This window comes from Homo sapiens, chromosome 7 (assembly GCF_000001405.40).
Source record: "Homo sapiens chromosome 7, GRCh38.p14 Primary Assembly".
NCBI lineage: Eukaryota > Metazoa > Chordata > Mammalia > Primates > Hominidae > Homo > Homo sapiens.
In genome coordinates, this window is record NC_000007.14 from 33,860,060 (window position 1) to 33,877,497 (window position 17,438).

The 17,438-nt window shown below is 40.5% G+C and overlaps 1 long non-coding RNA gene across 1 annotated transcript; it reads left to right on the plus strand.

The window, feature by feature from the left end:
• Window positions 1-532: 532 nt before the first annotated feature.
• On the plus strand, window positions 533-17,215 carry LOC124901613 (uncharacterized). The gene is made up of 2 exons (XR_007060282.1): window positions 533-646; window positions 16,993-17,215. It is a non-coding gene; the product is annotated as an uncharacterized LOC124901613 (long non-coding RNA).
• The last annotated feature ends 223 nt before the right edge of the window (window positions 17,216-17,438 follow it).

Genomic DNA, 17,438 nt, shown 5'->3' on the forward strand with positions numbered 1-17,438 from the left:
GCTTGTAATTTGGGCTAGGGACCCTGAGATAAGGAGGAAATGGGGCCATGGGAGAGTACTAAGAACATCAACTAAGGTGGTTGGAAGGATTCACTTTCTACCTTCCTGGTTCTAAGGTTGCACATGGAGAAAGAGGTTGGGAATTCTTTCCCAGATATGCCAAGCATCTAAACTAGGCATTTTGTCTCTGGGGAGCCTGAGTCTCCCAGCTCACACCCAAATTCAGTCAAAAGCCCTGCAACAACGAGCAGCTAGATCAATTCTATGTTTTCTTCTTTCTTCTCTCCTATATTATTGAGTTATGTTTATTGTGGCTTGAACATTGCCTCCATTTCAGGTGAAATATTACAGAGAAATAGGCAACTGTGTTAGGGGTTTATATGGTTTGGGTGTGTCCCCACCCAAATTTCATCTTGAATTCCCACATAGTGTGGGAGGGACCCAGTGGGAGGTAATTGAATCATGGGGGCAGGTCTTTCCTGTGTTGTTCTAGTGATAGTGAATAAGTCTCACAAGATCTTATGGTTATTATCAGGTGGAGTTTTCCTGCACAAGCTCTCTTTGCTTGCTGCCATCCATGTAAGATGTGACTTGCTCCTCCTTGCCTTCCACCATGATTGTGAGGCTACCCCAGCCACATGGAACTGTAAGTCCAATTAAACCTCTTTCTTTTCTAAATTGCCCAGTCTTGAGTATGTCTTTATCAGCAGCACGAAAACAGGGGTGGGAGTGGATGGGCCGTAAGCTAGGGAAACATAGATTAGCGGAGGAACCCTACACATGGAAGTCACCTTAGACTCCCAAATCCTGTGATACAAGTTTAGCATTGGAAAAAAAAAGTCTTTCCTTGTTTCTTTTCTTTGGAGGATAGGGGCTGAAGGGGAGCTGAAGCCAAGCATCTCCTTGCATATCTCAGGTTCAGTGACAGAAGAGCTTTTGGACCCTGCATACCTTTTAAAAGCAGTTACCTTGGCTTTCATAAAATTGAATGTGAACGTAGGTCCTCTTTGTGTAGAGAATTGTTACCAAATCCTCCCAGAGGAGAATAAGCACATGATGAGAGCTTAAATAGAGGGAAATGGATCTCTCCGCTCTCTCACACTGGTGGCAGAGGTCTCTTTCTCAAAGGAAATAAGGCCCCAGAGAAATTAACTGTTTGGGGAAGGAAGGAGAGAAATATTTTCTTTACCAATCCAAGAACCCTCAATATCCATAGAAAGGGGATCATTTTCAGAGGCTTCCAAGGAATTTCCGGATGGGGAGGTGTAACAACATCTCTGTAATCCCCCCTAAGGATAAAATGAAATAAACCCAAATCTTTGGCAGAAGTAATTGCAGTGAGCAGCTTCAGGGTTGTTTCTCAAATTGGGGGCCAGGGATACCTGGGAGGTGTTGAGGTTGAAGCTGTCAGAATGTCAATGTATTGCCTAATGGCAGTAGCAAGTCTGACACAAACCATCCTGGTCAGGAGTAGGGGCATAGGGAAAAAAGCTTATGGGGAAACAGGATGACAGGTGCTCACTGGAAGAACTGGGGAATAAAAGAACTAGAGATGTGCTGCTCTCACCTGGTGAGCAAATGAGGTGTCCAGCACTATAAAGTCTATGCTTTATAACTATGTTTTAAAATAGTTATAAATTTCTATAAAGTTAATAGAAAATTTGAGGTATGGTAACACCAGCACAGCAGGAGGTGACTACTATTGAAAAGAAAGTGTGTTACTCACAGATCCCAAGAGAAGGGGTATGCCATGTCATGGGGGGTGCACAGGTCAGTTAAGGGGTCAGTCAGGAGGCAGAGGTGGGACAGCACTGGGGGCAGAGGCCTTCACTGTGTTTTTGTGAAAAGGAACAGGCAAGGCAGGGTAAGCAGGCTGAGGATTGGCTGATTGGAACAATTTCAGCAGGATCTGGGGCACAGGGACTGTCCCTAGTTGTCTGGTACCTGGCCCTGGGGTGATTAGGGCAGGTGGATGGTAGCCTGGAGTGTGAGAGGCCTATAAAGGAGATGGCTGGCCCTCTGGAGTGGTTGGTTTGTGTTTAAAAGTGCTCTGTGCTGAGTCATTTACTATCTCTAGGAATTGGCTAACCCTGAGAGGGGTCATCTCTTTAGGGTGAGCAAAGCCCCAGAGGTCAAAGCATCAGAATACAGAAAACAAAAGACATTGTTAATACAGCAAAACAGCTGGAAGGTGGTCAGCACTATTTCTTTTTTCTTTTTCTTTTTGATCCTTTGGTAAAAGGTTAAAATACTTTGTATTTTCAGTCATGGCTTCTGTTGGCCACACAGACCAGCCCTAGTGTATCTACTCATGATGGGAAGTGGTGATGTTTGCCCTGAGCCTCACTGGGAACAGAATTTGAAATCTTTTTCAGGAGAAGGCCTCATATGCATACGTACAAAATCTTATTCATTAATAATAAGCTCCAATGGAGACTTTTAATCATGTTTGTAAGGGCTGCCATTTCAAAGCAACCCATTAGAACCAAAGCCTTCATTATTTGAGAGATGTTTTTATGGGAAGTCTGTTGATATCACACTTTGAAAGTGAATTAATGATGAGCTTGGGTAAATTGAATATTCAAAAAGAAGTCAAGGAAGGCCCCCATGGGAAATATGGCATATAGTGTGGTAGTAAATGGGGTTCCTGTCTCATCCTCGTAGGTTGCAGCTCTGAACTCTGGTTCCCCTCTCTCTCTTGGGTTGCTCTGCCAAGAAGAGACCAGTTGAAGAATAACACTGTATTTCACTATATGGCATTGTTATTACTTCTATTTGCATATTAATGTTCTAGAATCAGATGGCAGTGCAACTACATACATGACACCAGGGAGTATAGGAAGAAGGAGCGGGTGGTTTACTACAGGACACAGATTCCTGTGTTTGATCTAAAAAATAAAAAGGCAGTAAATACAAAATGTTTTTAAACAAGAGAAGCTTTAAACCTCAATGGGCTTTGGTTCTTGGGCTTGTTAGAACAGTTTGGTCTTTGAAACACTGAGTGAGCTCTCAGGGAGAGCTGAGCACTTGGAAGCAGAAGCACATGCATTGCAAAGCCAGTGCTGGCTCTGAGCGCTGAGGGTATCCTGGTGCAGTGCAGCCTCCAGAAAATGGAGCCAGCAGTTCACTTGTGTCCAAAAGTCTGATGCTCACATTGCAAAAGTTCTCTCGGGTCGTCTCATGCAAAGCAACCCTCTTCAACTCTGGGTCCTTGGACTGGGCTAATCCTACCCGTTTTAGCCTCTGAGGGCTGCTGATAGGGAGACTCTACCTTCTCCCTCTTAAATACCGCTGCCTGGGCAGACTTCATGAGGATAGCTGGAGCTGAATCCTTCATGATGGCTTTTTGCCACCACTGCCGGTCTTGTCACAGGCTCCCACTCCTTCTTGTCAGCACTACTCCTCTAAGTGCAGAGTGAATGCTGATGTGATATGGTAAGAGGGAGAACTTTCATAATTTGCAAGAGAAAACATTCTCACTCTTACTTGTTCAAAAGCAGACATTGTGGGGTGAGGAGAGGGAGAACAGTAAGAAGGGCTGGTCCACTCTGCTCGGAGTTTTCAGCAGCACAAAGCCACCCAACTACCCACGGCCCATCTACATAAACCCTCATCACCTGCGGGTGTTCACAGTGTCATTCTTTAACAACGCAGAAAATGGGCAGAAGAGAACATGGAACTGCTAAAGTTTTCATTTTGTCATATGAAAATTAAAAAAAAATTTTTCTACTCTTCCCATCATTTCACATAAAAATGGGCATTGTAATACCAAAAACGTTAATTCATTGTCTTACATTTTCTCATTTACTCACTGTCTGGTGAAAATGTTGGCACAACAAATGTTGACAGTGTTGCTAGGCTAGACAGAAATAATGATGACGTCTCTTTATTGAGCGCTTACTGGATACTAGGTGCTGTCTAAGCACTTACACATGCTATCTCATTTTTCCCTTTTAAAGTTATTTAGTGGCTCCCTTTGGTCTCTTGCAGTGATGGCAAATTCTCATTTCTGTCAACTTGGATCCACTGATAGTGCCCTGTCTGTGGCACTGTGTTAGTAAGGATCATGAGGATGAACAGAGGCTCAGCTGGAAAGAGCCTGGATTGATGAACAGTACCTGACAGGAGGTTGGGGAGAGAGGGGACAAGATGCAGGGAGGGAAGGGGACGCAGGGGAGGGTAGGAAGTGTGGATATTTGCCACCCCATAGCCCTCTAAAAAAAGTTTAAGATCAGCGGGCTTGGTGGCTCACACCTGTAATCCCAGCACTTGGGAAGCTGAGGCGGTCTGATCATGAGGTCAGGAGATTGAGACCATCCTGACCAACATGGTGAAACTCCGTCTCTACTAAAAATACAAAAAATTAGCCTGGCGTGGTGGCACGTGCCTGTAGTCCCAGTTACTTGGGAGGCTGAGGCAGGAGAATTGCTTGAACTCGGGAGGTGGAGGTTGTGGTGAGCAGAGATTGCGCCACTGCTCTGCAGCCTGGGCGACAGAGCGAGACTCCGTCTCAAATAAAAAAAAAAAAAGTTCAAGATCCTTAGTAGGTAAGTCAGGCCCTTTACTATCTGACTTTTCTTGCCCTTCCAGACTTGCTTCCATCCCCCTGTCTTTAAATATGGTGCCAGCACTTCTCCAACTGTAAGGTGCCCAGAAATATCCAGGGGATCTCTTAACATGCACATTCTTATTCATAGGTCTGAGGTGGGGTCTGAGAATCTGCATTTCTATCAAGCCTCCGGATGCTGCTGGTCCATTTTCAGTAGCCAGGCTCTATGCCACCTCAAACCCCTTACCATTCATTCCCTGAACCTGCTGTGTGCTTTCACCCATCAGTTAACAAGGGTTAATTACCATTCATAATTTACTAGGTGCCAGGTCCTGTGCTAAACATTTTACATAACTCATCTTATTTGCTCCTGACAACACATCTCTTAGATAGATAATATTATTACCATTTCATTTTACAAATGAAAAAAACCAGATTCAGAGGTTAAGTAACTTTTTCAAGATTAGACAGCCAGCAAGGGGCTAGAACCCAGGCCTGCTGAACCACAAAGCAACACACTCTAGCTTCTTGCTATTCAGCCTGTGGATTGGTAGTATCGATATCACCTGGTGAGTTGTTGGAAATGCCGAGTCTCAGGCCCTACCCAGACTCACTGAATCGGGATTTGCATTTTATCAAGAGCCCACATTATTCATGTGCACATTAAAATCTAAGAAGTGCCACTGTAAACATCCATGACTCTTCATGTTTTCTCATTCCATTCTTTCAAAATAAGAAGTCTAGAATCACAATTCACAAAATCAGACTATTTTGATAAGGATTTAAAAATATATATACTCTGAAGTTTTGACACTGCAAATTTAACCCAAAGGGCTTTTTTACTGAGTAGCTTGAGAAAATTTTGGCTTTTCAGAAATTATCAACACAAAATAAAATTGACAATGGCTACAATCTGCATATAAATGAATATAATCTGTTATACATACATACAATCTGTTATAAATTATACATACATACAATGCAACATGCATACATACAATGTATGCATACATTGTATGCAGCATACAATGTATGCATACATTGTATGCAGCATACAATGTATGTTATACATACATACAATCGGTTATAAATGAATACAATCTGTTATAAATGAAAATCATCTAAAAGATCATATCATGTTGGTCATATTGGATACAGCAAAAATTGGCTCAGGAAAAAAATAGACTTGTTAGAAATAATCAACATGAAAAAAAACTGTCCACAACTAAGATACAGACGAATAAACAAAAAAACTGATAGAAGAATCAAGTCTTCTTAACCAAAACTAAATCAGTAAAATTGGAGCAAAAACATTGAACTTGTTAGAAATAGTGGCCTCAAGAGGAAAATCCACATAGGAAGAGATTATTATGCTAAAATTATTTCTAGACAACAACAAAGCCCTGATTCATGATTCAATATTAAATTGCATGAGTGCAGGAATCTGTATCTGTCTTACTTATTCCTATATCCCAGTATCTAGAACACTGCCCAGCATAAAAAAGTAGCTCAATTAAAAATGTATGGTTTGGCTCTGTGTCCCCACCCAAATCTCACCTTGAATTATAATCTCCATAATCCTTAAGTGTCCAAGGGTGGGACTAGGCGGTGGTAATTGAGTCATGGGGGCTGTTTCCCTCATGCTATTCTCTTGATAATGAGTGAGTCTCACGAGACCTGACGGTTTTATAAGCATCTGGCATTTCCTCTGCTGGCTCTCATTCTCTCTCCTGATGCCCTGTGAAGAGGTGCCTTCCACCATGATTGTAAGTTTCTTGAGGCCTCCCCAATCATGCGGAACTGTGAGTCAATTAAACCTTTTTTCTTTATGAATAATAAAAAAGTGTTGCATAACATCTTAAAATTTACAAGGAAAATAATCTGATAAAACTTCAGAACAAAAATGAAAATGGAAAAACTATTTTAAAAAGTTTAAATGTGTGGTATATAATTTAAAAGAAGTAAAATGATTTAATAGCATTTGATTCAGAAAATACATTTCATCCAAGAAAGATTTTAGGAGAAGATGATTTGTCAGTGTTGGCAAAATTTGGATGAAAAATATATAAACATGAGTCAAAATGGGCTAGAAGGGTGGGATCCGACTACCACCTGGTCAAATGGTGGAGTCAAAGTTATGGAGAAAAGTAGCTGCATGAAAACCATCTGTACGCCTTTCTTCTGGCAGCAAATCTTAATTATTCTTCCATGCCTAACTGAAATTTAACATCTTGCATTGAGCCTTTTCTAATCCAAAGCAGAACATTTTGACCCCAATGTTTGCACTCGTACCATTTTTACCCAAGGATGTGTTGACTTTACCATAGCACCTTTCAGAATTCATAAAAGTTGAAAGAAGATTTTGAGAGTGATAGGATACTTTCATAAAAGAACAACCTTCCAGTATCTGAGAGGAATCACAATTTTGTGACAGTTTAATAAAATAAAAACTGTTATTCAATTCATACTATATATTACTAAAGATTCAGTGTTATATGATTAACTGCCTAAAAAGTCACTTCTTGTTTGTAAGATTAAAAATGACAAAAATTCACCAAAATTGAATAACTTAGGTAAGAAATACTCAAAATAAAATAAAATTGCTCATAGTTAAACTACACATGGTAACATTCGTTTTGACTAAAATCGATGGAAGAATAAAAACAAACATCTTTTAAAAGGTAAATCTGAATAATTGATCTCAGGAAATTGAACTTGATGGAAATAAATAATCACAGAATAAAATCTGTAGTAGACAATGGCTTTAATTTGCAATGCTTAATACAGAGAAAAAATCTTTAATGATTAATCAAAAATTGGTCATGCAATTTAAGGTCAAAGAATTGACTTTGATGAAGACAATATTGGTAAAAATAAAAATAATAAGAAAAAGTTTGGAATTTAAAAAATTGCCTTGTATAGAAATTGATCAAAAAACTCAATAAAAATTCATCGGTGTTGTTTCATTTATTCAACAAATAGTTATTGAGCATCAGTTATGCACGAGGCTGTAGCGATTAAAAAGTGAATAAGATAAGGGCTTCACATTCTCAAAGGAGAATGTAAATTCCTGCCTAAAACGTTGGTATTCTTCTACATGAAGTTAAAATATCCATTGCATGAAAATGATGTGTTCTCCTTCACTGTTAATTCTTTTAGGAAGAAATTTAGAACTATGTATTAAAAGACTTAAAAGGGTCCATAAATTTTGATTCAGCACTTATGTTTTTAAATATGTTCCACAAATACATTAACTAAATATAAAAGAGTTATATCCTAAAATGTTGATTGGGCATTGTGGCAGGTGCCTGTAATCCCAGCCACTTGGGAGGCTGAGGCAGGAGAATCGCTTGAACCCGGGAGGCGGGGGTTGCAGTGAGTCGAGATCACGCCACTGCACTCGCCTGGGCCGTGAGCCTCCGTCCAAAAAAAAAAGAGTTACTTATAAGAGAGAGAAATTAGCACATACCCTAAATATGGAGTATTTGGAGGAATATTAAGGAAACTATGCCACATTCCCTTGATGGTTGATGGTTATTTTCCAGAGCAGCAGCTCCACGCTTATATCTGATCATTTATGTTTGTGTGGAAATGAAAATAATATCCTCAGGCTCCTTAACAATTTCGCAAGCTGGCCTGTTGTGGGTGGCTGTGTGATGTCGCTGAGTGACACAGCCTTGGAAACGCAAAGGCTGCTGCTGTTTCACCTCCAGGATACCAAACACCCAGGGCTTCAGAGGGCTGGAGTTGGGGCAGTGTCACAAGATCAGAATGTGATCTCCGTGACTGCTTAGCCTGCTGAGACCCAGAGGCTCAGAGGCTGGAGGATGGAGGGATGCGACAAAGAAATGTAAAACATGCTCCATAACCTCAACTAAAAACCCAGCATTCCTTCTTTCTCGTACTCATTTATTCATTCACTCAACAAAGATTTACGGAGTGGCTGATATTCCCCAGACATTGCTTCAGATGCTGGAGTTTCGGTTGTAAGCAAGAGAGATGAAAATTCCTGCCCTTTTGGAGACTGCATTCTGGTAGAAGCAGACAGTAATGAAACAAAATAAATAACTAAATTAAATAGTATGTTAGATGTTGAGAAGGAGGATAGAAAAAAATGCAGCAGAAAGAAGGAGCACAGGGGAATGGGTCTGTAATTCTAGACTGGGCAATCAGAGAAGGACCCGATGAAGAGATGATGTTTGAGGAGATTTGAGGGAGGAAAGAGAGTCGGCCATGCAGGCACCTGGGAGAGGGCGCACCTGACATGGGGAAGAACTCCCTCTGATATTTTCTAGCCTTGGACTTCATCTCTGCCTTGGTCTGTCTATGGTGGTAATAACCTAACCTGAAAAACTGACTCTAGGTTAATGGATTATTGGAAATTTGCAGAAGGGACCCCAAGGGAACAGAAATATCTTAACACTTGTTAGAAATTATTTTTAAGTCTGTGGCTTTCCAACCTGTCCAGGAGCTTCTGAGGCCTCACAGACCCTCTCTCTGCCATTAGAGTTTATACTAATGTTTCCAAACTGTGGTCTTCAGGGGCTTATCCTGAGAGATATTGGCTCAGCAAAAAAAGGCCTTGTTTGTAAATAAACTGGGGAGATACAGTGTGCTGTCTTCCCAAAGTGAAGATTACCTTTAAGAATCCCTACAATAAAGAAGCCTGTTGAATTTTCTTTAACCCTGAGTGTCCCTAACTTATTCTCATGCCATGACTATTACGATGCCATGGAACAGATGTTCATCAGAAGACATTGACTCACACAATAGTGTTCCATGCTGGTTATAGACTGTCTGGTTCATTGTTTCTTCACTCGTCCTTGATGTCAGTTTCGTTGTATTGTCAGGCAGGGCTTAGGGATAAAATTCTCCAGTACAACCACTGGGTCCTGGACACAGAGGACAAATACACGAAATCATTATGGACCGAATGTAGATGGTTGTAAATGTGGTCCTACAGAAAAGGTCGCTCAGGGCTTCTTCAAAGTGAGTAGAAAAATATCTGGATAAGAGAAGGCCTTCTTTCCAGTGTAGACAAATGCAGAGACACAATTTCATTGCACAAATAAACATTAATTTGGGGCCAGGAGGTGGGGTGGGACTGTGAGGAATTTAGCGGGTAGACAAATTCTACATGGAAAATATCTCAAAGTATTCTCTTTGCCGTCCATCTGCTGTGCTCACATCCACCTCTCCTTACTGTCTCTGCCCCTTTCTTATTCTGTCTGTGGCTGCTGAGCGAGGGCTGGGCTCTGGTTATTCTTTTCTTCCTCAACTTTTCTGCCATCCTTTAGTCTTGTTGCCTCCTATTTTCTTCTTTTCTTCTGGCTGGACTTGTGCTTCCCATTCCTTATTTTCTGTTTCCTTTCAAACCTCCTTCTATTCCCTTCCCCCACAAATGGTTCCACACCCCGTGTATGACCCACCCACTCTGCTGCCCACTTCACAGGGTCTGTCTTTTGTCCCTGCTTCCATTTGGCCTTTTTATTCTGGGCCCTTGCCCCAGAGGAAGACAGACCTTTATTTCTTTGGTGTGTGTTTTTGCATCACCCGTGTGACATCTATGTTTGTAAGGCAACTTCAGCTCGGCTTACATTTTCAGTCATGCATAGGATTTACATGATAACAAAATCTCCTGTCTGGGAATGTGAGACAGATTCCTGTAGTCAGTGCATTCATCACTCCCAGGGATTTATTCAATCATTCCCTCACTGAGTAATGTTTATGTGTGAGGTACTAAGGACAAGGAGATAGAAGACATAATTCTGCTTGGAAGGAGCTCATGGTCTAGTGAGAGACACAGTGACCAAAGCAGATAATCTCAATAGAATGTGGCAAGTGTTGCGCCAGAGGCCAGGAAGGGATACTGTTCCAGGAGGGTCCCTGACCCAGCCTGGGAGGGCCAGGGATGGCTTCTCAGTCTCAACGGTAATTAGAACAGTGCAAATCTGAGCTTTCAACTGAAAATTGAATTTGGAAAACTTTTATCTTTTACTCTGAGCCTGAAAGTTTCTCAATATTTAAAGAGTTTTCTGATAGGATCAGTGGCATTATTTATAAATGGTATTTTAAAATACTGTAAATGAAACGTGTCAACATTGGGAAGATTTGCATAATTCAGTGTAATATTTTCCAATATATTAGGTTATAAATCATGTGTGGATAAAATAATACACTCAACATGAAAGATAGGCAATGGATTTAATGTAATTGAGTATAAAATGTTCAATTACCTGGTTTCAAATTCTATTCTGCAACTCACCTTTATTAAAACTAACATGTGTAGAGTTTTGGAGTATAGTGAAAGAAAAATACCTAAAATTATTTGAGAAAATTGGAACATATTCCTGCTTTTCCAACTATATAACTATGTGAAGCTGGATTTTCTTTCTATACTTCAACCAAAACAACATATTGCAAAGTAAGCAACACAGAAGCAGAGAGGAGAATCCTGCTATCTTTACGGAACCAGATATTAAAGAAATTTGAAAACATGTAAAACAATGCCACTATTCTCTCATTTTTTTCTGTTTTGGAAAATATAGCTATTTTTCATAAAATGTGTAATTTACTTTAACATGTAATTATTACTTTACAGTTAAGTAATTAATATTTAAAATTTTTCTCAGTTTCAGTTTCTAATATGGAAAATATTGATAGCTATACCCCACATAAACTAAGCTCTTTGGAGTCCTTAGCAATTTTTTTTTTTTTTTTTTGAGACGGAGTCTCACTCTGTCACCCAGGCTGGAGTGCAGTGGCATGATCTCGGCTCACTGCAACCTCTGCCTCCCGGGTTCAAGCGATTCTCCCGCCTCAGCCTCCTGAGTAGCTGGGACTACAGGGGCGTGCCACCACATGTGGCTAATTTTTGTATTTTTAGTAGAGACGGGGTTTCACTGTGATGGCCAGGCTGGTCTCGAACTCCTGACCTGAGGTGATCCACCCGCCTCAGCCTCCCAAAGTGCTGGGATTACAGACATGGCCACCATGCCCGACCCTGTCCCCATTTTCTATAGAAGGAAACTTAGACCCAGAGAAATTAGGAAGTGTGTCCATACTCACTACAGTGAACACCCTTGGCACCCCTGTCAAGTGCCCATGTGGTCATGATCACCAGTGCTCTGCACCCATTCCCCAGTTCCGTGTGCCTTGCTGCCAAGGGCTTATGGCTGGAAAATTCTTCAAAGGCTTGCCTGTGGGCTGCCATAGCCGCCTCACCTGTAGCCAAGCATCCAGGAGTTGATTACTGAACCTCCACCTACTAGCTGATGACCAATTGGTGAACCAAAGATCAGCTTCTTTGCCTCTGGATGAATTCTGGGGTGCAATTTACACTCCTGAGCTCCCTGAGAATCAGGTTGTGACTGGCCTTCAACCAAAATCACACCTCTTTACTTCTCCTTCTGTAGTGGGCTTCTCATTTACCACTTTCCCTGGGGAGTTCTTTGTTGATGGATCACTTGAATCTTTGCCTTGGGGTCTGCTTCTTAGAGACTCTGAAGACTGTCACTCACCTAAGTGGCAGAAGTCAGGATTTGAACCCAAGGCAGCCTGACTTCAGCACAGGTGCTTTTAGCTAGCACACTGGACTGTGTGCTCTCAGATTACTGGTGTAGGCCTGTTAACAGGTTAGTCCATCCAGTTGCAGGGTCTACAAAACTATGCTTCTTATTTTACCACACATTAAAGTGTCCCTTTCTACCGTGTGTATGGCAGATGCACCTGACAGCAATAACTTAAGCAAACCCAGAGAATGGCCGTATGATCTAGGAAGAATTTTGTTTCAGTTTCAAGCTAAGGAATACGGGAGTGGCCAACCTGGAGATTCACTCCTTCTTTACGAAGAATATCTGAACTCCTGGCCCGTTCCTTGAAATACAGGCCATCCGGGGAGGGGAAGGCCCTTCGTTTTGGGTTAAATGGAGGTTGCTAGGTGGAGGTTGCTAAGCCAAAATGCTATATACACTGCATACTTTTTACAAACGATAGTGGGTCTTCCTGCCTAATCCGCTGTCCCTGGACCACCCGATAGGTAAGTCTTCAATAAAGCCTGTATTTCGTTCGCTGGCTGTAGGTCTTTTCTTTGGCCTCTCAGACACAGTGCCATCCCTACAGAAGTCAATAGGGGTCCAGCAGATACCTTGAGAATGTATGTTCTTCACCCCTTTGGAAAAAATCCTTTGCATAAGGGAAAGTAACACTCCGCTAGGTCTTCACGCTTATTTAAATCCTGTCAATCTAATATAACTGTGTATTATAGGCACATGCCAGCTTCCCTCCACCTCTCACACCAAGTAAAAACAAATGCAATATTGATAAACTTTTCTTTCCCATGACCCATGGTGGGTATAGATAAGTTAATGGAGAAATAGTGGTTGGCAATAACATTCCATGGACTCCTTCCGCTGAATCAGCAGTAGCAGCTAGAATTTCATAAGCTGTCACCACTTCAAGAGAGGAGAAGCGGTAGCCTGGTGTGCATGTGTTGGTCACACCCACACTGTGCTGAGCTCTGACTTCTGGGCAGTGTTGAATGCATAGGCTGTTATTCCCCAAACCCCTCACCATTCCTGGATTTAACCTGAGTCAGGGTAAGTGTAACCACCCGTCAATCGCCTTTATAGAAAACACTTTGGGTCCTGACTATTGGTTGCCCCTTTGTTTTTTGAGGTCCTTGAGTTTGTCTTGTGCTATACTTCATGGAAGGCACAGGAAATGTATCCCTAAAGCAGCCTTAGCATCAAAGACATTTCTGTGAAAACACCCCTCTCCACTACCACAGAACTGTTTATTTTTTCAATTAACAAAGGATAAGGTGGTCCACTGGGGAATTTTGGCTTAGAGCCCCAGAATTTAAATATGTATGCAAAGTAGGGGGTTAAAAAGACCTTAGATTAATCCAGTTTTTACAACACCTGGGGCTGTGGTGGAGATGGGGGCAGTTAATTTAAGCACTAACTTTTGAAGGAGCAATTTTCTCCCACTTTGGCTGCCTGGGCTCAGGCCACAGAGGCAGGCTTTAAGTATTTCACCTAACTACACTCAGGCAACAAGCATGGGAAACTCTTTGGCATGCCTTGGTATCTACTCACATTCTTCTGTTTTGCTTTGTCTTTCTCCCTGGACAAATGGCACCTTATTATCTAACTTGAGCCTTCGCATTCAGACTTCAAGACACAGCCCATGTTTTGAATTAAGGAAGAATGAGCCTCAGCATGAGCCCTGGGGAATCTGGGTTAGGTGATCCAAGTCCCCCTTGGGTTAGACTGAATGCAATACTTTTCTTCTTTACCCTGCTAGCAGGTCTATTGAGTTTCAAAAGAGATCAAGCATATATGTAGAAATTCTCCAAATTCTATAGCTCTGCTATGCTAAATTTTCTATCGAAGAAATTCTCGAAAAGAAAGGGAAGGGGCGTCTCACCAGGATCTACTGAGATTGTTCAAGAGGGTAGAGTAAGAGGCCACACATTGAAAACATTCCTTTTTGTTTCCTTCCTTACCTTATTTCCTCCAGTCTGAAAGTACAGATGTTTGAAACTCTTCTAGGAGTGGAGATGACCAATGACCAGTCTGACTCTGGGAGAGGCTGGACTTCTACTATCTTTAGCAGAGAGCCCCAATATGATTTTTAAAATTTACTCTCAAACCCATGGAACTGGGAAATATTTACAACACTTAGCCATTTGTTGACTTGAATATGTGAAGTCTTGCAGAGGAGCTATTTCTTTTCATTGTGACATCAATATAATTTATAGTGGATGGCATTCTGTCCCTGATTTTGTCTCCCTCTCTCCCTTCCTCCACCCCATTTACATTCACTTGAAAGAAAAGTCTCTTAAAAAGCATGTGAGTCATGACCTGAGCATCTATGAACAAACAGTGACTCTTCTTAGGACACAGAACACCTCTTTCCTGGGCATTGTGCATTCATATTTATGTAATAAAACTTAAAAATATGCAGGATGCAAAAGTCTTCTGGAGTAAAGTTGTTTAGAGTTTGCACAACCCATATAATAGCAACCGCCTCCAGAAGGTGGATTTCTATCTCAGCTCAGAGAATCCACTAACATGTGGGCCAGCCTTGGGCAAAATTGAGAAATGGGAGAAGACTTGGTTTGCTTCCTTCAGCCCCTCCACTTCTCAGCGAGTGTCTTGCTCTCTTCTATTCTCCCTGCATCTCTTGCTGTGCACTCAAACCCACCCATCCTGGTGTTAGGTAAGGCTGGGTTTAGTTTAACATGTTAACGGCCCTCTACATTTAAATCTTATATTTAATTATAAAAGGAAAGGGTCTGTCCTTTTAAAGACATTGTGGGGGACCTAAGCGGGGACGGAGGACACAGAAAAGAAACTTCTCGAGGAACTTTGACCAAGAGAAACACCATCTGAAAATGCCTAAGCTAACAAAACTGAGTTTAGGACATCTGCCTTTGGCCCATTCACGTTAACCACCACGTCCCTGGAGACTGGTTTTCCTCCTAATATGGTGAAATATGCCAAAAGCAAGTAAATTCTCCTGTGGGATTTAAAGGATTTAACTGAATCACATGGAAAGTTACCAGATTTTCTGAGTGATTTATGTGGTAGAAGCATGGTTCTATTTGGATGAACTTTTTGCTGTCTCACAGAAAAAAGAAAGTAAAATATTCGATATAGACTCACCAAGTGGTTCCAAGAACCTTGCCTTGAAAAAAAGAAAAAAGACACAGCCTTTTTCAAAGGTTAGTTTAGAAGTATTAAAAAATCATATTTTTATAGTAATAGTTATCACATTGCCAATATTTTTCCATCAACACTGTAAATAAAGTAACTTTCTTCTTGTTAGTACACCATTTAATTGCTCTTAAGTAAGAAAAGGGTGTGTAAGTGTGGTCTTAATCTAAGTGTTAACACACTGGTTAGAAATGTGAAGTCCCTTAAATTTATACAAAAAACCTTAAACACATGAGATAAATTTTAGAAGCTGTTAACCACATGGAGATGCTGGGTTCCAGACACAAGCTCTTGCTCCCTCAGAAATCTATAGCATCCCTTCAAAGTTGAAGTTCAGTTCCACTTAGAAAGGCATTATTTCCATTCTCAACCCTATTTTAAAATGAAACAGCAGAAGTGAATTCTACTGGGTTCTGTTCACATCGCAGTGACCCTAAAAAAGTCCACAGAAAGTACACTTCTCAATCAAATGTTTAGTTACCATTGACTGCGAAGACCCCAGAGAGAGCATGACATTTTTCAATGATTGCATCAAAATATATTGCTAGGGAATCCAGAAAAAATATACAACTAAAGTCTTGCTTTTCAAAAGCATCTTCAACCAGAGAGGCAAGAAATATTAAAGAATGCTTCATTATAATAAAGAAAAGGATGACCCGTTTTTAAAAAGAATGGAATTATGGGGATCCAAATGGAATTCAAATAATCCTGGTTGCGTCCTGCACTCCAGTATTTTGGATGCATTTGGGAATGCTGTTGGATCACTCTGGATTTGCCTTTTCTCTATATTCTACCCGACAAGTTTATATTCAGCAGTATCCCTCACACTGTGTGAAAATTAGCAGTGGTTCAAGGAGGAAATTTGGGGGTTTATATAAAGTAAGTGATGAATCTTCTTGGCTTAGAAATGTGGTTCTTAAAATATAAGGCTTATAGATCATTTTGAGAAACTTATTAAAGTCAAGTAAAAGAAAACATGCATACCACATACACATTGCATTTTGCATTCAGTTCCAGGTCTAGAAAAATAAGAAGCTTCAGGTCTAGAATGTCATTATGGGAAGATTTCCATTTAGGTCTGTTTTAAAAATATCCATAATAGGTGAGAGGAAAGAAATAGGATTCTCACCTTGGGCAGCGATATAATTCCTTTTACTAGTGACCAATTAATCCAACCCATCAGAGTAACATTTAATCTTTCTTTTAAGTGGTTTCTAAAAAGGAACAACAGAAATGGCACTGCTAAGAACTTTACAGAACTGGAAGTAGTATCAAAGTGGCTCAAAACCAAATAAATATAATGTAATATACACCAAATTCAAGTTTTAAAGCTACTCAAGCCAGGGAAGCAAAGGAGGAAATGCTGATTATTTGGGGGAGAAATGGTAGAAGCGGGGGTAGAAAGGGAAGACCAGATGTTCGGTTTTCAACATCAATGTTTCTGAAGCCAAGAATATATTGCTGACTGAGGCATGATAAAATGTGCAGGGATTTCCAGCAATCCACAGTCAGCTGATCTGCTAAGGAGAAAAACAACAATTTTAAAATAATAAAGTTAGGCTGTAAATATAATTTTCTTATCTGGGGTTCTGGTTATTTATACCTCAAAGTGAATAGCTGCATAAAGATCTTATTGTTTCTCACTGGAACAAGCTTGAAGCCCAGGGAATGCCTTGACTTCATGAGATTATGAAAAAAAAATGTTGTATTTTTATGTGACAGGTTGACATGGATTTTATTCAACAGACAAGCTGACATTTATCAAGATGCTTTCAATTACACCAAAAGAAATAGAAGTCTTCGTCTTATTGCTGTTTATGTGGCAGTATTGTTCTCCTACAATAAGTTGATGGAAATGAGTTGTTTTGTTTTTCATTTTAGCCATTTTACAAGTAAGTTTGCTATTGTTGTTGCTGTTTTTAGAATAAAATGATTTTACCAATAACATTGAGTGGCTATACCTTTCCTTAATAATGGGAAATTTTATAAATTTGGCTGCTTAATGACATGATTTAGAAGTTTGCACTCTGCTCACTTTTGATTTGACCTTGCAATTACCAAGTTAAATAAAAATGACTTTTATAAGGACATGAATCCAATTGAAACTTCGCAAGATTGGAATCTTTTAATTTTTGAAAGTTGTGTTCCATCAAAAAGCCTTCTGTGGT